At 34.4% G+C, this 22,338-nt stretch overlaps 1 protein-coding gene across 5 annotated transcripts in view; it reads right to left on the bottom strand.

Moving 5' to 3' along the window:
- Positions 1 to 4,638: 4,638 nt before the first annotated feature.
- CFAP299 (cilia and flagella associated protein 299) overlaps positions 4,639 to 22,338 on the bottom strand; it is a 642,486-nt gene continuing 624,786 nt past the window's right edge. For all 5 annotated transcript variants that reach the window (XM_047449975.1, NM_001206997.2, NM_152770.3 and 2 more), the window contains one exon: positions 4,639 to 4,872. In XM_047449975.1, coding sequence (XP_047305931.1) covers positions 4,777 to 4,872 — 96 coding nt within the window. In that variant the 3' untranslated portion in view covers positions 4,639 to 4,776. The remainder of the gene's footprint in view (positions 4,873 to 22,338) is intronic.

The following is a 22,338-nucleotide window of genomic DNA, read 5'->3' as shown; positions in this document are numbered from 1 at the left end:
TCCTGTCTCTTTGGCCTACTGTTCTTTTCGCAGATTATCACGTACATTTCACATGTCCCCTTTCCTTGGTTCTGCATTCAACCATTAGCTTCAGGTTAAAATTACTTTCTTAGTGTACCTGAACTCATTCATAACGGTTCCCTAATTGCTCTCTCTTCTTTACTGGGTGGAAATCTCCTCAATAAGTTTCCGCAAAAGGAATTTCCAAGTTCCAATAGTTGCATTAATGTGACGTTAGAACTGTGACAACAGGACAAGGTAAGACTTGAGAGATATGCTCCATACAATCAGATGCCATTGAAATCTTTTATAGGAGTGTTGGCCGGCCAATAGAAAGAATATGAAAACAATTTAGAAATGGAATGACACCATGCATAGACTCACTGACTCTCAGTTAACCTCAGAGGGTGATAAAAACTCAAATCAGACAAGAGTATTAGATAATAAGAAATTTGAATCCAGGGCACTTAGACAACAAGACAACCTTAATTTAAAAGGCATGATATTGGAATCGTCAGAGGTTTAGACTTGGCTTAGCATGGGCCATGAGAGTCTAATCACGGGGAAGTGTCCTGGGTGTTTGTAGTCCACATGCTGTGCTATGGTCTGAATTGTCTGCCCAAAGTTCATATGTTGAAAACTATATGTTCATCTGTTAGAGATACGGCTTCTAAAGAGGTAATTAAGTTAACATGAAGCTATCATGGTAGAACCTAATCCAATCTGGCTGGTGTCCTTATAAGAAGAGCAAATTTGGGTACACAGAAAGATACCGCGGATGTGCTCAGAGAGGAAAGAGCATGTGAGGACATCTGGATGCTACGTTCCCCTGTTGCATCAGCCAGAGAAGGATGCCATCAGTGAGCCAAGAAGACAGGCTTTAGAAGAAACCAGACCTACTGACAATTGATTTGAGACTTCCAAACTCCAGAACTGTGAGAAAAGACATTTCTGTGTTTAAGTCACCCAGTCTGTGGGAGTTTGTTAGAGCAGACCTTGCAAACTAATACATCTTATAACCCAACTTAAATCTCCAGTTAGTATTTACTATCAGTAAATTCAATTCAGAGGCTAATATAAAAATTACTTGTGATAATATAATTGACTTTTTAGTGCTTTAAAACTTAGCATTAAATATAGGAATAAATTGTAAATATGTTTGATATTTGAAAAATTTTAAATATCTATTTAAAAATAAGTAGTTATGTTTTAGAGAAGCTGGCATATTAGAATATAGAATATCTAACAGATAAGCCTTGCTATTCCCATTTAAAGTGTGATAACTGAATAATTGATTAAGATATGATTTTAAGGTTAAATTTTATGCATTTATAAGCCATACTGGAATATTTTAGGCAAACATAAGGGTCATTATATTTATTTTATTAGATTTACAATAGTCATTTAAATGCATGGGAAGGCTTATTTTTAGGTAAAAATTTAAAATTCTTAGAAAATTAAATACAATAAAGTTTATAATTAAAATTTAAAATGTTCAAAGGAATTTAGTTAAACTATACAAGGACTCATAGAAGTGATTGTTAAAATTTGGTCAAATCTATAGATAGAATAATAAAATTTATACATTATAAAGTGTATGAAACTAGGGTTTTTAATTTATAAATTTAATAAGTCAAACATTCATTTGATCACGAAACATCTCAGACTAACAGAAAAGTTGTAAGTATACTACCAAGACCTTTTCCCATGAATTATTTATAAATACTCTACTGACATGATCCCCTTTGGACTCTCAAATGCTTCAGTGTAATTTCCTATATTTAAGAACATTCTACTACATAACCACAATATAATAATCAAAATCAGGAAATAAATCTAACCACAATACAATCATCAAAAAATTAAATTTTCACCAGTTGCCCCCAAATTCCCTTTATAGAATAAGGATCTACTTCAGAATCATGTGTTGTATTTGGTTGTCATGTCTTCCTCTCTATCCTTCTTCAGACTGGGACAGTTCTTCCTTTTTACCTTCACTGTCATGATCTTGACACTTTTAAAGATTACAGGCCAGTTATTTTGAATAACATCCCTGGATTTGGGTTTGCCTGAGTTTTCTTTTGATTAGATTCAGGTTATGCAACTTTGGAAGTACTATTACAAAGGGGATGCTATGTTCCCCTGTTGCATCAGATAAGTCTTGCTCTTCCAATTTAAAATGTCATATTTGACAAATTGATTGAGAGATGAATCTTATTTGCTAGGGCACATATTCATTTTGCTTCGTTACTGATGATATTTTCTTTGATCATTTGCTGAAAGTGGTGTCTGCCAGCTATCTCCATTGTTTTCTCTGTAATTAATAAATATTTTGTGGATACTATGTAAATATCCTCTTTCTTATCTTTCAATTTATTCATGTCTGTAGATCAGTATGGACTCATTGTTTCCTACTTTATCTCTGTAATTATCATCGTTTTGATGCCCTAATGGTCCCATATTTGGCCAGTGGGTACCCTTCACACTGAATTCTGTGATCCTTTTGATAAATCCCATTTGTTTTTTGAGAACTTTTTTACTTTCTGGCACAACAAGGTATTCCAGACTCTTGTATTTTCCCTGCTTCAGCCCCCAAATTAGTTGTTTTCTCAAGGATCCCCATCCCTGCTTTTTTTGGTGGAAAATGGTGTTAGGAATCTGAGATCTGGGCATTAGGTATGCTCACTGATATTGGTGGGTGGCTGCTCCTGGGCTCTTTCAGTGAACAGAGTGAGGGACTATACATGCACATATATATATTCCATATCTGTTCTATATATTGTATGAACTGAAAATTCTGAGATCACCCTGATATACCCAATTCCAATGTAACACCACTCCACTCAACCTGCTTGGAATCTGGCATATCGCGCCAAGCCATCAACTTCCCCGTGAATACACCCTTGCATTTGAACTGCGACTTCCTGCTTTGGGCTCTACCAACCCCACACCTGAGCAGATTTCCACCGGCTTGTCCCCACCTAATTCCCTCAGTACAAGGTTGTTTAAACATATCTCAAAATAATAAGAGCTATTTATGACAAACCCACCGCCAATATCATACTGAATGGGCAAAAACTGGAAGCATTCTCTTTGAAAACTGGCACAAGACAAGGATGCCTTCTCTCACCACTCTTATTCAACATAGTATTGGAAGTTCTGGCCAGGGCAATCAGGCAAGAGAAAGAAATAAAGGGTATTCAAATAGAAAGAGAGGAAGTCAAATTGTTTCTGTTTGCAGATGATATGATTGTATATTTAGAAAATCCCATTGTCTCAGCCCAAAATCTCCTTAAGCTGATAAACAACTTCAGCAAAGTCTCGGGATACAAAATCAATGTGCAAAAATCACAAGCATTGCTATACACCAATAACAGAGAGCCAAATCATGAGTGAACTCCCATTCACAATTGCTATGAAGAGAATAAAATACCTAGGAATACAACTTACAAGAGATGTGAAGGACCTCTTCAAAGACAACTACAAACCACTGCTCAAGGAAATAAGAGAGGACACAAATAAATGGAAAAACATTCCATGTTCATGGATAGGAAGAATCAATATCATGAAAATGGCCATACTGCCTAAAGCAATTTATAGATTCAATGCTATCCCCATCAAGCTCCTATAGACTTTTTTCACAGAATTGGAAAAAACTACTTTAAATTTCATATGGAACCAAAAAAGAGCCCGCATAGCCAAGACAATCCTAAGCAAAAAGAACAAAGCTGGAGGCATCACAATACCTGACTTCAAACTATACCGCATGTTCTCACTCATTAAGTGGGAGCTGAACAATGAGAACACACTGACACAGGGAGGGGAACATCACACATCAGGGTCTGTTGGGAGGTGGGGGGCTAGAGGAGGGATAGCATTAGGAGAAATACCTAATATAGATGATGGGTTGATGGGTGCAGCAAACTACCATGGCCCCTATACCTATGAAACAAAACTGCACGTTTTGCACATGTACCCTAGAACTTAAAGTATAATAATAATTTTTAAAAAATACATCAAAAATAATTAAAATATAAAATAAAAAATATTTTGAAACACTAAAAATAAAGGAATTAAATTGAATGGGAAAAAGAAGAGGAAGAACCAAATATTAATTTTTAATAAAAGTGGCCTTCAAATAATATCTTTTCTGCACAAAAGCCACCTGCAGGGCACATTAGGAAAAAGTGCTTATTTCTATCATCAAGTCTTGATTTTTCTAATATCTTCTAGTTTCCTTTAGATTTCATTTCCTCAGCTTCGCTGTTATAGGATTCATGTTATCCAAGCTTATATGCATATTAAACACGTTCATTCATTTTATACATCATTTCATGGGATATTGCAGATTTTACTTACTTGTTTAGTACTATCGAAAACCTTGTATGCCAATTTGGGACCCCTTAACAGTCAATATTCAATGATTTTAGCAGCCAGCACTGCCATATGGCAAAAGCTTGGTCCATTCGATTTAGCAATAGTGGGATCTGGAACTTTTTTTTTTTTTTTTTTAAATTCTGAGCTACATAATAGTCACCAATTTCTGTATCTTTGAAGTAGCACCAAAATTCTCTCCCATGAAATGTTGCAATCAGCTTAGAGGCTATCTGTATAATAAAAAGACAGTCAATATTACAGTTTTCTTTCTAACTTCTTTATTAACTTTATTGTTCTAATTTGCCTTCCAGCTACAGGGCTCATTTATTATTCTAATTTGCTCTGTCTACGGAATTTATTTAAATTTAGCAAATTATTAGGAAATTAACATGTTGGTACTTAAGTCTTCCTTCTGGAAATGTGGTCAAAAATGACAGCTTGTACGTAGAGTTCTGTCAGGATAGTGATTCTAGTAGAGTTGTCACCTGGCTGCGCCTAAAATACATAAATTACATTGTTAGTCAAGTCTATAAAAATACTTGGCCTTTTTTAAAATTTTTTTTTTATTTTTTTGCTTTATATTGCAGAAAAAAAAACTAGCAAGTTTGTTTCCACGGAGATATATACATGTTTTCCCCCTAGTCTTTTTCTCAGGAGTGAACATAATTCCAATTAGGAGCTTTGGAATTATGATTGGGTTGTGATATTGAAAATGCCCATGATCAAAGCAGTGACACAGGATCATGCTTGTCTAGACTCTGCTGAACCCCATGAGTCACTAACTTCAGAATTCCTAGCGAAAGGCTTTACAAACACATGTGACTTCAGGGTAATAATTCAAAAAGAATCCTATCTTGATTTCAAGTTTGTCAAATAAAATGTCTCAAGTCTGGGATTGATTTAGATCAGTGGAAGTGTCTGTCCATGGTGGGTTTTACATAAAGCATCTTTCTAATCACTTTAAAAACTACTTGATCTGCTTTTTTTTTCTTCCTTCAAATTATAACCTTTTAAAAGGATTTCATCTTTTTTAAAAAAAATTAGCATAGTTTACCATACTGATAGGCTTCTAGAAAGCCTCTATGGAAATAAGTATTTGCTAATGTGGTATTGATAAGGGAGAAGAAAGAAGTTTAGGTAAAGCTGATGCTCAGAGGAGAAAAAAAATGATTCTAAAAGAGTTGCACAGTATGTACAATTAGAAAATTTTAGTTACTAGGCCTTTTGTATATTTGATGTAGAAAAGAATGATATTATTTGCTCTCTCTTCTAAGAAGAGATAATTAGAAATTTAGAATTGAGGATAAAGAGAAGTTTTGGTATTGCCTTTTCCATATGGTACTTAATTTCTTGTGCTAAACAAAAAAGTGGGTGTCCTGACTGTGCCCCCATCTAAGTTAGTTTTGCTTTTTATTGTTTTTGTGTTATTTTACAACTCTTTTTTTAAATTTTATTTTATTATTATTATACTTTAAGTTTTAGGGTACATGTGCCCAATGTGCAGGTTAGTTACATATGTATACATGTGCCATGCTCTTTAAGTTGTATAAAACTGATAGTAATGGAAAATATCTTGCCCACAAAGATGCAAAATAATTGTGCCCAGTGGAATTCAATTAATCATTGCCCTGTATAGAGACCTATTTTGCAGCTATTTTTATTTCAATTTTCCTTATTCCCTATACAGATATGTTCTGCTCTTCGAATTCTCCTTTGAACTGGTTATAACATCTTACTGGTTTCTTCTATAATTAATGAATTAAATGAAATCTTTTGAAAATTTATGTTATAGCTGCATGAGAGTTATTTACACCCCTTTAAAAATTATCTTGTAAATATTTTGGAGGTTCTTCAGCCAATAGTCAGTGGATTCCTCTTATAGATGAATAACCTACATGGTGGAGAAAGTTGTACCCCTGGGGGCTTAAGCCCAGACTCCCAAAGGTAAATCCCCAGTAGCAATAGAAATTTAACTTTGCAGATCTTCCGTTTCTTTCTGTATTTTCCTTTTTGGCTATTTTTGTGTTTTGTTTTTGTCTTTGGAACTCTTACAATTGATATATTATTTCCTACTGGTGACAGCAGTGATTCAGAACATTGTGGGCTAGCCATTGTTATTTCTGTAAATGGATTAATGGATTAGAGAGATTTATTCCCCTTGTGTGACAGACAATAATCTTTTTTAAAGTATTTTATTTTTATTGGTTGTTATTTGTCTATTTTGAGCTCAAATTAAGACTCTTGCGCCCATCAGGAAAAAGTACAATGCTTTGATATATGAACTGGTGATTTTTCTGTGTTTACTTTTGATATGTGGTTAATACTTAGATCTGAAGTTATAAGCAGTCTTGTGTCTGTGTGTCTAGATGCTTATAATTTAGAAAGACCTTTATCTCTTTTTGGATGAGTGCATAATATTTTCCTCTCTCTGGAGGGTAATGAATTAGGTTAAAATGTCTCCTAAATTAAAGAATCTCTGTTCTGATTGGCCTATAGAGTTCTTATATAAATACATTCTTATATAAATCAAATAATCATAAAATTCCAAAAATTAGGAAATTAAAAGCTATAGTATTTTAAATTGTGCTATACTTAATAACTTATTTTTACAGAAACTCAGAAATGTTTTTAAAATTTAAGTTCACATAATCACAGTAAATCTTTGGTAAACAAGACTAATGTAATAATTTTGGTTCAAAATAAGCAGCTATATTCTATGATTTATCAGTGTTAGGTTTAATATAAACAACATTTTATTCTACTTGGGTTTGTTTTTCTTGAACTTACTTAGGTCTACTAACTAACAATATGCCTACACAATATTTTAGATAATGAAAACTATAAATTTATATTCAACTAAATTGAATCATTATTCAGACAACTTTATTTCAACAGTAATTGTGTTTTTTTTTTCTTTTAACAAGTCAGCTTGAATATAGGTCCCAAGATCCTTAGGCAACACATAACCTTAGACTGATATTAAGTTGAATTATACAATGAATACTCGCTTGATATATAGATGATTTCTAACTAAGATAGGAGACCAACAAATTTGATGCCTAATTATTAGGCGTAATTTTCAGTTTATATACTTTTGCTTATATCCTATAGAATGTGTTTGTTTTGAGTCCTGTTAATGAATGTATTAATTTTGTCTCTTTAAAAAGGTATGTGTGTGGCTATTGGAAGTTGCAACATAAACTTTGCTCATCTTTTAAAATGTTTGTGGAAGATTGGCAATTCTTAATTATCAGCCCCTAGTTTTCTTCTTGAAATAGAAGTTGCTTTGGTAAAAGTCCTTTTAATATGAATAGTTAAGACTACACTGTGAGAATAGGGACAGACTGACACCACTGTCTATGTCCTTTTGTGTTTCAAAGAGAAAATAATTTTGTCCTATTGTAGTGGTTTTGTAGTAGTATATAATAGTGGGGATATATAGAGTAGTGGTTTTCAGGCTTCCCTCCCTTGATTCTCCCAGTCTCAGAACCTCTGTACAATCTTGAGACTTACTAAGGACCCTAAAATCTTTCACTTATGTAGTTGATAACTGTTAATATTTTCCATATTGAAAGTTGAAATTGAGAACTTTAAAAATAGTTACTGCTTCATTTGATCATAGCAATGACAAACATATTGACGTTTTAACAGAAATAACATTTGAGGATTAATATAAAAATGGTTTTGTGCTCATGGATCCCCTGAAAATTGCAGTGACATGAAAAAGCAAAATGAAGAGTAAATTTTGGAAATATATTTTACCTGCCTTAATTCATAATACCTGAGTCTGAAAAGAAGCTATGAGATGTGCTACAATTTTAGTAAAATTTGCCCAATCTTGATGGGCTTGTTTTCTTAGCTTACTATTTGCCTACTAAATGAAAGGCTTTTTTTTTTTTAACTTCCTATGTAATCTGCCTAGATAGATAACAAAAATTTTGTCTTATAAAAATAATTTTCTGTGCTTTATATTGAATTTGTTACATCCCTGATTATTTAAGGAAAAGAATTCAAAGAACAGTTTCCTCACATATAAAGAGCTAAGGTTCTTTACAACCATGTTAATGTATATGTTTATTTTTTAATATTTTATTGTTTTAAGTATGTACTTATTGTTAACTCATTATTATTTCTCTGGTACCCTGATCTTATTTTAATCAAATGTCCAAATGTCCTCTATTATTTTTTTCTGATTTTTGCCATTCATAATTGGATCTTAAGTATAGAAAAATTAATAAAACAGTCAGGATATCTTTTACACTTAAAACTATCTCTGAGATTTCCCAGATGGCCCTTCAAAAATATCACAAAGAGTTATTCCTTTACCTTTGCAAAGAGGTGCTAAAAATAATTAGTTTTATTTGTGGAATTCCTTGGGAAGAATTTTCAAATCAGAAGAGATGCTCAGCCTTACTTATTTAAATTGAATAGGCATAATGTTATTAACAAAAATATTTCAGAAATTTTATATGCTTTATGAGAAGTTCCTAAATTTTTTTTTCATTGCCCTTTCTGCTTTACTTGTTTTTAACTTAAAGGAAAATAATGATTGTAATTCTTGGAAATATTTCCATCAGATTTTTCTATATTTATCAGAGTTGTAGCAGTGTTTTGCCTAATGACATTAGACAACAACAGTATGTTATCAGTCATAATTTCAGCTACTGTTTAAAAAATACAAATGTTTAGGCCTTATGTACACTTACTAAATTTCTTTACTTGGTTTCTTGTATTAGCAATTATGTTTTAGTGTTATCTATGTCTTATATCTATCTCAAGGCTTCTTCCTCTGTAAAATTATTTTCATCCATTTTTTGAATCAGATATATCATTCACAAACTTCTTTGAAAATAGATTTAATCACTATCCTTAGAGATGTTTGTCTAATTGTCTTTTGCAGTGGCTTTATTATCATTGTTTTGCATACCACAAAAAGAACTAAATTTCCTTGTCTGTTGCATTATTCTTACTATAAACTCTCACCAGACTGCTCACATTTGAAAATTATTAGTAATAAGTCCACAACAGTGATTTTAGGTCCCTGTAGTTTATTGATAGTACTGTTTTACTCTGCTGCTTCTCTGAAGTCTCTCTTCCAGGTTATAATCCAGAATTTATGTCTTCAACAAAGAACAGTCTTAGAACCTCATGGAAGATAACTACCAGGTACTTTAAGTATTGACACCTCAAAGCTGAGCTGACATTGGTTAGACAGCTTTCAGATTGCACCATGAGTGGACTGAGTCAGGATTTCCAGGACCCACTGTAGGCCAAAGCAGAGGGCTGCATATGATGCACAAGATTCAGCAGAGTAGGAATTAAAATTGTAATAAGACTGAATGCAGTAATGAGATAATTTTCTTATGGTTATTCATTTGGGATATTGTTGATATTGTCTTAACGTTTCATTTTTCAGATAAATAAGAACACCCTTTCTCCTTCTTCTTAAGAAATCTGTAACCCATAGAAATTTAGTAGAATCTACTTTATAAAATGGAAGGAAACATTTGAAAATGACATGTGATCTTATTTATTTCTCTAGGACTCAGAAATTCTTATTGAGTCTTTTTACTTTCCATGGCCATTTAGTGATCTGCATCAGTTCAGTAAGAAGTTGTCATCCTTTTTACCAGGATGTAATTGTACAAATTATAAAACCAAAGCCTTCCCCGTAATGTCATGTTTGAAAACAATGTTCATTGAATCACACAGAAACAGCTACTTTTAAGGAATTAAGTTCGACTTGACTTATGGAGGTAGTATTTACAAAGACCTTCTGTACAATCTGGTCTACTCCTTGGCTTTAATAGTCAAGAATATTGTATACTATGTATAAGTTATCTTAAGGTATTTGGGGACTTTTAGAAGAGAATAATTTACCCAAAGTTACAGGTTTTACAGGTGAAATCTTACGGACAGAGTTTCTTGGATTTAGTTTTCTAGCAGCAGGACGACAAATAATAGAGGGCCTTAAAAGTCCAATTTGAGATTCCTTATGAATACTTCCAGACAGAATTTAATTTAGTATTTGTTCAAAATTGTATAGCCTTAGAATTTACAATGCAAACTTAAGGTGACCTATATGGTAAAATAACACTTTTGAGATACCTATATAAACAGTAAGGCAAACCTAATAAGACTAGCTGCATTTTATGATCAAGAATAACCTTCCCGAAATTATTATGATAAAAAGAGGAAAGGAGACAGACTGCCAGGGAAACTTGTGAAAAACTTTGAAATGGGCAAAAAATCAAACAGTGGGTATCTTGATTACTCACTCATTTAGGTTTTCTCACTTATGATCTATATTACAATTCTGCAACTTTTAGAAATTTGATAATAATTCAAATAATTCTTGTCTGTAGTAATGCAAAATAGTTGTGTTCAGTGGAATACAATGCATTTTTGCATTGATGCTTTTTATTTATTTGCAAATTTATTTTAAAATCTGTTTATTCCTTTTTTATGTCTCTGCTCTTTGAATTCTCTGGAATCAGTTGTAATACCTTACTGGTCCCTCATTAATTAATGAGTTAAAAATCTTTGCCATATATTCACTCTATATCTGTGTGAGAATGATGATTCTATCTTCTTTTAAAAATTGTTTCTTAATAATGTATAAAAAGAGTGCTAAAAACCGTTACACATACACAACAGCAACAGCAAACGATGTAACTGGCTGAGAAAATTCAGCACTTAGAAAGCTCTTCCTTCAAATTCATGGCACTGTAAGGAGCTGTGAAAAGATTACTGCCTGAAACCCATTACTGGGTCCCAGGAGAGATGGGACTCCAAGCCAAGTATAAAATATGGGTAAAACAAGATACTGAAATAAGTCCAACAGTAAAAAGTTACTGAAAAATAATAACTGATGAAACAAAACAAGAAGATTCTAACCTTATTCTACCAAATCCCAGAAGAATTACAGATTTAAATGTATGAAAAGAACGATAAACAAATTTAGAAGAAAATATATGTAACTATTTTCCTGATTCTAGTATAGGAATCTTTTTAAATATAGAAGCAATGAAAGCTATCAGAAAGAGAAATCAGTAGTTAGGATCATAGAAAAATTTAAAAATTTTGCATGACAAAACAACTGTAAACTTTAAAAGAATATAAATTTTGGTATATCACTAAAAATATGATAGCCAAAAGTTTTCTACCCTCTACACATAGAATACTTTAAAAATTTATTTTAAAATTCCCATTAAAAACCTACAGGAAAGTAGGTAGACAGCAATAACAATTGTAGAGAAAAGGAGATTGGGCATGGTGGCTCAAGCCTATAATCCCATTAATTTGGGTGGCCAAGGCAGGAGGATCGCTTGAGGCCAGGAGTTGGAGACCAGCCCAGGCAACATACTGTCACTATAAAAAAAAAAAAAGAAAATCTTAGGCATGGTGATTAGTGCTTGTGGTCCCAGCTACGCCAGAGGCTAGAGAGGGGAAATGTGCCGGGGTGGAAGTGGGATCATATGAGCCCAGGACTTCTAGGCTACAGTGAGTTTATGATTGTGCCACTGGACTCCACACAGAGCAAGACACTGTCTCTAAAATAAATATATAAATAAGAATATTATATAGTAGCATGCATATAAAATAAATTTTCATTTCCAATAGTAATAAAAAATGACTGGAGCAAATAAAATGACTCCAAACAGATCTGGACTGTGAAATTAACAGTTAAAAAAGTATGCAAAATAAATAGGGCATGGGAAATGGGAAATTTTAAACAGCTCAGATATAATTGTAAATTGACATGGTCTAACTGCAAAGCAATTTGACAATATCTATCTAAAGCTTTACAAAATACATATATTTTGACTAAGCAGGTTCCATTTTAGAAATCTGTCCTAAGTGGGGGTAAAATCAGAAGCTTGTTTGTAGAGAGTTGTTAATTAAACCGGAGGGAAAGCAGAAACCAAACTAAATTTCCACAAGTGGGAAATTCTCATATCAATTATGAGTAATTCAAAGGATAGAATATTATGTACATTCTTTTTTTGAGATGAAGTCTCATTCTTTCCCCCAGGCTGGAGTGTAGTGGCACAATCTATCTCAGCTCACTGCAATCTCTGCCTCCCAGGTTCAAGTGATTTTTCTGCCTCAGCCTCCTGAGTATCTGGGATTATAGGTGCATGCCACCATGCCCAGCTAATTTTTGTATTTTTCTTTAGTAGAGATGGGGTTTCATGGCCAGGCTGGTCTCTAACTCTTGACATCAGGTGATCTGCCTGCCTCAGCCTCCCAAAGTGCTGAGATTACAGGCATGAGCCACCGCGCCTGGCCTAGCTACATTATTTTCAATTTGCTTTTTTCACTTAATAGTGTATCTTGAACATCTGCACTAATCCATCAACATCAGTAAATACAGCTTTAACTTTTTAAACTGCCACATACTATTTCTTTGTATGCATGTATCATAATTTATTTAACCATTGCCTGGTCATGAACATGCAGATTGTTTCCAGTTTTTAACTCTCGCAATGCAAAATGATTATTCTTTTAGAGTTTTCATGGTTTCTAAGGTAATACACTACTAGGAAGCAATTTTCATTCATTGAGCACCTACTCTGTGGCAGGCATTTTAAACATATTCTCTCATTTCATCTTCACAACAACTCTTTGTAAATGGCTATACATTTTTAGATTTTTACAGATGAGAAGACAGAGGTGAAGTGCTCAAAAGGGTGAAGTAATTTTCCCTAATCACAAAGCTGAAAAGATCTCTGTACCTTCAACTCATTCTAAGCATTGCTCCTCTTAAGAGCTTTGCCCTGCCTGAGCCCTGATGACCATTTCTCATTCCCTTCCAACTTGTTCTGCAGTTCTAGCTGCTTTCAACTGCTCCAAAGTATTTTAGAGAATCCTCAGGTCTTGGAGAATTCTCAAGTGGGATTTATTAAGGTACTCAAGCAGGTCTTTGAATAACCTAAAATACAATTATACTACTCTGTATATGGCCATGTGTGCGTTTTTTTTTTTTTTTTTTTTTTTTTTTTTTTTTTTTTGATGGAGTCTTGCTCTGTCACCCAGGCTGGAGTGCAGTGGCGCAATCTTGGCTCACTGCAAGCTCCGTCTCCTGGGTTCACGCCATTCTCCTGCCTCAGCCTCCCAAGTAGCTGGGACTGCAGGTGCCTGCCACCATGCCTGGCTAATTTTTTGTATTTTTTAGTAGAGACAGCGTTTCCCCTTGTTAGCCAGGATGGTCTCGATCACCTGACCTCGTGGTCCGCCCACCTCCGCCTCCTAAACTGCTGGGATTACAGGCATGAGCCACCATGCCCAGCCAAAACTTAACAGATTTTAAAAATAAGTTGTCCCCCCCGCATATTAAGAACCTATCCCCTTGGAGCAACCTCATATACTTATGAGGTAGTTTTCTGACCTGCCAAGTTGGGGCTGACATTTTTGTTCATTTAACTGTGTTTTTCTTTTCCACTCTTGCTTCAGCTATTTGAGAAAATGTATATATGTTCAGGGCCACCAATGTACATGCCAAAGATATCTCAGCCAGCAATAGCCACTTATAAGTTATCAACATGAGATTTTTCTTTCTTACTAATGGTCTTGGTCACTATTCATGCTATTGTATTCCATATTCTAATAAAATTCAACTCTCACTCTGCTTTGGGATTTCAATTTTTGAGAAATTATGAGTATTTGCTGGGAGTGGTGAATGGCTGAGAAAGAGTCATGGGAATTAACTACTTGTTCAACTGTTGAGACCCAGGAAAAAAACATGCTCTTTTTTTGAACTAGAAATAATCCCTCAACTGTGGTCTTGCACCTGCAATGACACCATGCCTGACTCATGTGTTTTCTGATGCCTGCTTCTGTGTTATTAGTTATCAGGTTTTTAAGATCATAGAGGAAACAATTATTTTGTTCTTATTCAATCATTCCATCTTGCCAGGAAATTAACTTCTACTCTCTTCCATACTTCTTGATTTGAGGTAATACATTTTGTGAGAAAGTGAGCGTGAACTGTGTCTAAAGCTCTCTTCCTCAAATCTCTCCATCCTTATATCCCTAGGCCATATGGGTCCCTTTTACTTTTGGCATCATGTTTGATTAGGTTGCTCTTGGAAATAAAAGCTTAAAACAATAATTTTTCTTTGTCATGTATGCTTTATTGGGATATGTACCTTTCTTTTCATTGCATATGTTCAGCTCAGATGATGGAGGCTTATCATTTATACTCTCTTATTACTAAACATTGACATATATATTTATGTATATACATAATTCAAAATTCAAAAAATATATATGTATTTTTTTCTTTCGTGTAGCTTACATTTCTTGTGTTACAGTTCATATATGAGTTCATGCACTGGACACTTATGAACAATGTGCTTATCTCTGGGGGTTGTTCCTTAAATACTGCATATAAAATTAAAGTCAGTTTTTCAGGTCAAGTGGAGGACATGACATTTAAGTTTTAGGAGTTTTAATTCATAAAAGCCAAGCTCTGTTATATAATTTTAATGTATTCCTCAAGGCCATTGATTTTAGCAGTAGTTAGTTGAGTAAATACTTAATTTATATGTGGTGGGCTTTCAGTTCAGATATACCAGGTGATTACCCAGAGGAGAAAATGTTTAAAAGCTACTTAGTATGTGGGTGTTTTAGGGCTATAATCAACCAAACATTCAGTAATTTGGGTAGCAAAACGAGAAAGTTGGCAAGGCCTCAGCTTTACTTAATAACTGTGACTGTGCCACAGTTAAAAAGCAACATTTATAAGAGGCCTCCAAGGAAAATACAGGGGCCAAAAAAGTGGTGTTGGTGATTCAGTAGATATCCCCTGCCCCACTGGCCCAATATTAATTTAGTCTTGTAGTGCAGTTTGCAGAAACATTTCTGAGACGTTGCGGAAGCCATAACCTTGTTTAAAACTTATTCTATTCAGCTTTTTGTTTGTTTGTTTTTCAAAAGGGATTATATATAGCTCCTCCTGTTAAAAGGCAGATTTTAAAACTGAGGACCTTCACTGAAGGGCGAGGTTCCAAGAGATTAAATTGGAACCATCTGCATATAGGACGTAGAAATGTTATGGGTCTCCGTTTTGAGAAGATCAATTTCAAGGCTATGACAGGTTAGGATTTTAGGATCTGGGAGGCAAGGGAAATGAAGAGAAGCCAACGACCTCAGAAGCAGAGGTGGCATTAAACAGGTAATGAACACCTTTCCTACTAATAGTAGCAAGTGCTTGCGTGGGGGTTGCCTGAGAGGGCAGAACAGAGGAGAGAGGAGCTCTGAGAAGATGTTGCTGGACTCTTCCTCTAAATTAAAAAAAAAATGCAAAAACAAAAACGGGTGATTTTATTAGTTGAATTTATTTTTAATTTTAAACCTTATGTGTCTAGTCTTTTGCTCAGAGAAAAAGAAAGAATTTGACATATTTGTTTTTAGCACCTGTACAATAATAGACAACAGTGACTACGCATTTATTTTTAAAAATAATAAAGTAATTGCTACTCTCATTTACCCATGCACCTAACACATTGCCGTTACCCTGGAAAAAATCACCATTTACTCTCGAAAGTTCCTCAAAGAACCCTGAGTGATAATTCATTTATCCACCTACCTAGGCAGAAAAGCACTAGAGTCAATTACTCTGGTAGTTTTTAGCTAAAAATAGCTTTAGCTCTACATATGTTTTCAGTGCCTAAGACCCTAAAATATTTTAAGTTAACCTCAATTTTTTTTAAGAATTATTTTTGGCCCTACCATTCATTTCTTTAGCAAATATTTAATATTTCAATTTATTCATCCCGCAGATGTTTACTGAACACCTACCATGTGCAGGCATGGAGCTAGCCCTGGTAATACAACGGCAAAATGTCCAGAAAGGGTTCCTGCCCTACATTTAACAGTTTATGCTTTACAAGTTTCTGTCATGTGTATTGTTTCATTTGAGCCTCTAGGCAAACTCACTTCACAAAATGAAGTTCCATGAGGCAGTAATAGCAAAGAATGCGTAAAACCTCCCAACCCCTCGCCCACTCTCTGGCCCCCATAATGATCCAAATAAGAAGAAAAAATAGCAGTGATGGTGATTTATTAGCAGAAGCATTTAGTGCAGTTGTATCTCATTACACAGCACTCTTTGGTATATGGTCTGTGCTTTCTAGTCTGTGCAGTCCTGGGAACGTGTAATTTCAATGACTTAAAGTTAACACTGTTGCATTACAACATATTTTAAATGAATGAAGTTTGATAGCTTTATGCATATACATTAAGGTGAAACAACAGCTAAGACAATAGTACTGTGTAAAGCAGTGGATATAAAATCCAGCTAATCTTTAGGGTTACCTGAAGAGGCTTTAAAAATAGAATTTGCTGGGACTCACCATAGATGGATTCAGTCTGATATCTAAGGGAAGAGCCTTGAGTTCTCTGATTGGTGAATTTGAGAAAGAGAGAGGAAGAGGAAATGCTTTCCTGAATTAATAGGAATTGCTCCTAATCAAGCCAGGGCAGGCTGGGTACTAATAAAGAGCTCTTGTGATAATAGACTACATGCCAAAGTAGCTCACTGTTATGTTTGAACAATTGTGAACAATTTTCAAATAGAGGAGTCTGGGCTTAATAGTCAGGAGTATTGATACAAAAAGAACAAAGAAATAAATCCTGCTAAGTCCATGCACAGTCTACATTGCACATGCCTTCCAAACCTTGTGACACTCAGCATGGATCCAGAAAGTTTTATTCTATAATACTGTTTTTTGTTTCACTAATGTCCTACATCCAATAGAAACTATGGGTCTCTGAGATCTTTTCACATGTCTTTTAGTTTGCTTGTTATCAGTGACTTACCAAGCAACTATATTCAAGATGTACTCTACTAGACAGTAAATAAGATAACAAAAAGAGATCTTGCCCTATAAATTTTCATATTTTTAATATAATTGATTTTCTTTTGAATTCTAAAATCACACCAATGAAGTTTAGCCAACAGAAGAGTCACATCACCTCCTTTCAAAATGGATTATGTATTTTCATACTTAGAAATTTTGATTCTAAGTCATTGTGACACAAATAGTACTGAATCTCCTTGAGGTCTATAGAATGGCAAACACTAATTAGATTTGGCTTCCACTTGTGGTGTTTAGTTATTCTCTCAAGACTTTTCTGCCATGATTCTCCTTCCTACACCTTTGTCTCAACCCTTGTGAACCACTAGAATCACCCAGGGTATTTTTGAAAAGTACCAATGCCTAAGCCTTCCACTCAGATCAGTTATCCAGCCTTCTTGGGATGAGGTCAGGCATCATATATTCTAAAGCTTCCTGGGTGATTCTGATATCTGATCTGTGCTGACAGCCTCTCTGTAGCCACAAGGAGGTCCTCTGCCTTCCTTCACAGCCTCATGTTTTGTGCTCCCATGCCTTCGTGCTCCCATGCCTTTGTGCATGGTTTTTCTTCCTATCAGAACACCCTTCCTCTCCAGTCCTCATGTCCTCACCATACCCACCCTTCCAGACCCAGTTCAAATGCTATCTCTTTCATTAACTTGTTTTTGAATATCTTTGGTCCAAAGTACATTCTGCCTCCCCTGAATTCTTACAGAACTTTTTCTGTCCTCTCAGGTTACTTTCTAGCTTGCCATTTCTATGTGTATATTTTCCCACCCACTCACCAGTTAACCTGTAAGCTTTTTAGGACAAGAAATCTACCTTCCAGATTCACCTTTAAGCTTCATAGTTCTCAACAGTTGCCAAGGAAACATCAAATGAGAAAGGGGGGGGGTGGAGGGAAGAATAAAGAGTGGCAGACATCCATCCAGCTCACTTGTGTGCCCTGTACTCATCCAGCAATACTGTCTCTCTCCTCTCTCACACACACATGTTCTTTCTCCCTCTCTTTCTTTTCTGAGTACTGGGGGAAAGTGAGCTCTCTCAAAAACTTTTCTAGATAGATATACATAATATAAGTTCTATCTGTACCTGAATGATCTGGTAGTTGCAATATTGAAAGCATCAACTCAAAATTTGCCAACTATAGCAGGACCTCTACTTCCAGTCCTTTTTACTTTTCACCTGGGTTACTGTTATTCTGCTTGTCTTCTCCAGCTTTTCCTCCCTCGTCTGTACTGCTCTACACCTTCTAACATTAAAGCCCAACTTTCATCCTGTTATTTCTCTGCACAAGATGCTTGGCATATTTCCCCATTTCCTATTGAGTCCAGTCCAAGATCTGCCTCAGTCCTGCAGTCAAAGCTTCTGATGACCTCTCCAGGCTTAATTCCCAATTCACCCCTTCAATCCAACGCAGAAGCCAAATTGAACTATTTGGGTTTTCCCTTGTCTGTTTTATACTTGTGAATCTTATCTTGGGTAATAGGTTTAATTCCTGATATTGACTCCCTTTCCCTCCTTATGTGTTCGATTCTCCCCCTCTCTAGTTCAATTTCTGTTTTTTGTTTTTTTTTTATGATCCTGCTTCTTTTTTTTTTTGTTGTTGTTGTTTTTAAATTTTATTATACTTTAAGTTTTAGGGAGCATCTAGTTCAATTTCTAATCATCCTTTAAGTCCCCACTAAAAGTTTACTTCCTCCATTATCACTTAACATTATCTCCAATGCTCTCCCTTCACCATTCCTTTCCACTAGCTCCTGTCCCCAGATCAAAAATCATCTCTTCTTTCACTGAATTCCAAAAGTATTTCTCTCCTGTGCAATGTATCATTTTCTGCATTATACTGCAGTTATGTTTTGACTTATTTCCCTAAAAACACTAAGAGCACTTAAAGGGCAAAGATTGAAGTCTTGCTCATCTTCACCTCCCCATGTGACTCATAATATTTAAGCTTCATTGATGGTTTCTACTAATAATTAACTGTTGACTGTCAGTGAGTCATTTAATCTGTTGAAGTCTGTTCATAAATCAAAATCATGTTCTAATTCAATAATCTTAATTTGAGATAGTTTAAATTATATATTTCTGGGACTGCACAAGAAGGTATGAAAGCATAGACCAAAATAAAGATTTCTGCATAGTTCCTACAAAATCTGATTTCAGCAATAAATTCTTGCATTTTTTGTGACTTATTTGGGTTAATATAGGGAAAATGACTATACCCATTTCTGCTATCACTGCTATATCAAATGACTAACATAATTTACTCATTAACTTTTAATTAGTGTAGCACTATTACTATTATTATTATTGTTATTATTGCTTTTGGAGGGAATGATCCATTCAATCATCAATTCAATGAATATTTATCAAATATTCATTAGCAAGGCATTTTTCCAGGTGATGGCCTCTCAGAAATGGGAAGTGAGAATAGCTGGTGTAACTAAGAAATATATATATATTTTGTTGTAACTATTGTATACAATCTCTCTCTCTCTCTTTCTTGCCTTATTAGTGGTTCATGCCAGTTTTAGACCACTTATGCTATGGTAAGACTCAAAGCAAACTATCCCATGGTTAGTGTTTTTGAAAAGTAAAAAAAAAGTGTATTTAAAAAATTTGTCCAAATAATATATTGGACAGAGTGCAAAGTGCTTCCATTTAATTCTTCTAAAGATAATACACTGGAAACATTTTGGTGGGTGTGAATCACTCAAACAAGCATTCTTCACTCAAAAATAGAAACTTGGCTTATTTGTTCCAGATGTTATACAGCTGCAGGGAAGTTAAAGCCAGTGGTCCTGTTTTCAATGCAACCAAACTCTTATTGCATTTGGAATTTCCTAACCAATGAACTCATATTACTTGTTGTAAGACCTGCACAAGTTTCTGTTTCCACTGTTACCATTCCCAAACAACTGCCTTTCACGGGAAACATACTTCAGAATTAATGAGTCCACATCTGTGTTGGACAAAGTAAACACATCCTGTTTATCACTGTTTCCACCTTTCATTTATCTTGACCTCTTTAATTTTAAGCATAAAGTATTTCAAAGAGGGTACATGAAGGAGAAGAAAAGGAGAGCTGAGTTGCTCTTACAATATTTTACAGCTCTTTAACTACTGGAGTTATGAGATGTTCACCTTAGGAAGGATTTCAATAAAAATTGCTAAGAAAAATATTGACTATAAAAATGTAATTTCTATCAATATGTATTAGTAGTTATTAAAGTAACTGCAGATATTTATTTTGCTTATTTCTTGGTTCTTCCTTAGGTCTATAAGAAATTTTATGTTGGATGCATGAAATAAAAAAGATCTTGGATCTTTGAAGAAAGAATAAGTTAAGAAATTTTGTAGCAATGTACAATACATCTTGTCCACAATAATTAAAATATATAAGTGTCTTTCTACTTATTTTTTGAGAACAGAATGCCTGATGTTTTTAGACTATTGACTTTTTATGGAGATTTTTTCTCAAACTGCAGTTCATGAACAACCTGTAGCAGAATCACACAGGCTTCTTATTAAAATATGTACTTCTGGTCCCAGTCGAGGCAGAATCTCTAAAAACTGGGCCTGGTACTTTAAAGGAACTCTAGAGATCAGAAAGAAACAAAACAAACAACAACACAACAACTACAACAACTCTCTATCTTCTAGTTGTGACCACTAAAACCCAGGGAAGTTGAGTGAATTTATCAAGGTCATGCAGCCAATTAATAGTAAAGCCTAGGACTCTGTTTACTAATGCTGAGACCAACATTTCTTTTCATAAGTCTACTATTAATTTTTACTTTCCACAAGATAAAATTAAAATTTAAAGAAATATACGTATCCAAATGTTGTTGTATGTCTCGCCTAATAATTCTTACTCTTACCACTCATTAACCAAATGCTTGCTCTTTATTCAAGAGTTGGAAAAAAATTTCTTCAAATTTATCATAAAATCTAATCAAAATCTTTCAGAAAAAAGGAGACAAATGTTATATGTCATACTGAAATCTCATGGTTGACTATTTTGGAAGTTTGAGTTTGAGTTAAAATTATTTGAACGATGTTTAAGCAACAGTTCACATTCAATAATGATTCCCCAAAGACTGTAAAAACTACAATTCATGACATGCATTCTTGAAATATGCCATTAGTTAAAATACAGCCCTAAAATAGTTTAAATATGATGTCATTCAAAATTGATTCAAATATTTGTTTCACACATCTTAACAAGAGCATTCATAATTTAAAATCTTTTCTTATTTATATAGTTTAGACTTCTAAGGAAATGACTCTGGAAATGCTATTTATTAAGTTTTCTGTACTTTGCCCCTACTGATCTCATTTTGACACCCATAAGTAAAGAAGAACCACTAGAGAGAAGGTATGTTGATAAAGTACTCTGGTATTCATAGATTCATAATAAATACAGCCCTAAAAACTCTCTGATCCAGTACTTCATTTCACTAATGAGAAACCTGAGACCAAAAAAGAGTATTGTTATTTTGAAGGAGATAGCATTGTGTTAGAACCTGCCAGTTGTCTACTTAAACCTCTCTTCTCCCTGTCTCAGAATACCTGTTTTTAGCTGGGTGCATTGTCATTTGAATAAAGATTATATTTCCCAGCTTTGCATGTAGCTAATCACCTCCATAAGACTAACTTCTTACAATGGAACATAAGTGATGGTTTGTGCAGTAGCTTTTTGGAAACTCCCTTTAAAGGCATCAGGGGAATGTTCTTTGTACCCTCTCAACCCCATCCAGGCATTATGTTTTGAATGTGGTTATTTTGGCTGGAGACCTATTTTGGCCCAAGAAAATGAGGATCACCCTGGCCCAGATGACTGTGGAGCTGTCATTTAAACCTTGGACTGTCACCATCTACACTTACATGTGGAAGAGAAAGCAGCTTCTATCCTGTTTAAATTACTATCTTGGCATTTCTGATATTTGTAGCTGTATCTCATTTCAGGTAATCATCTATTTCTTGTTACAGAATTATGGTCATTAATTCTTTAAAGACATGGTTATTTAGCATTTTTTTTTTTTTTTGAGACGGAGTTCTGCCTCTCAGGTTCAAGCCATTCTCCTGCCTCAGC

The sequence above is a fragment of the Homo sapiens genome, chromosome 4, assembly GCF_000001405.40.
Source record: "Homo sapiens chromosome 4, GRCh38.p14 Primary Assembly".
Taxonomy (NCBI): domain Eukaryota; kingdom Metazoa; phylum Chordata; class Mammalia; order Primates; family Hominidae; genus Homo; species Homo sapiens.
This window is presented reverse-complemented; position numbering and strand designations above follow the sequence as displayed.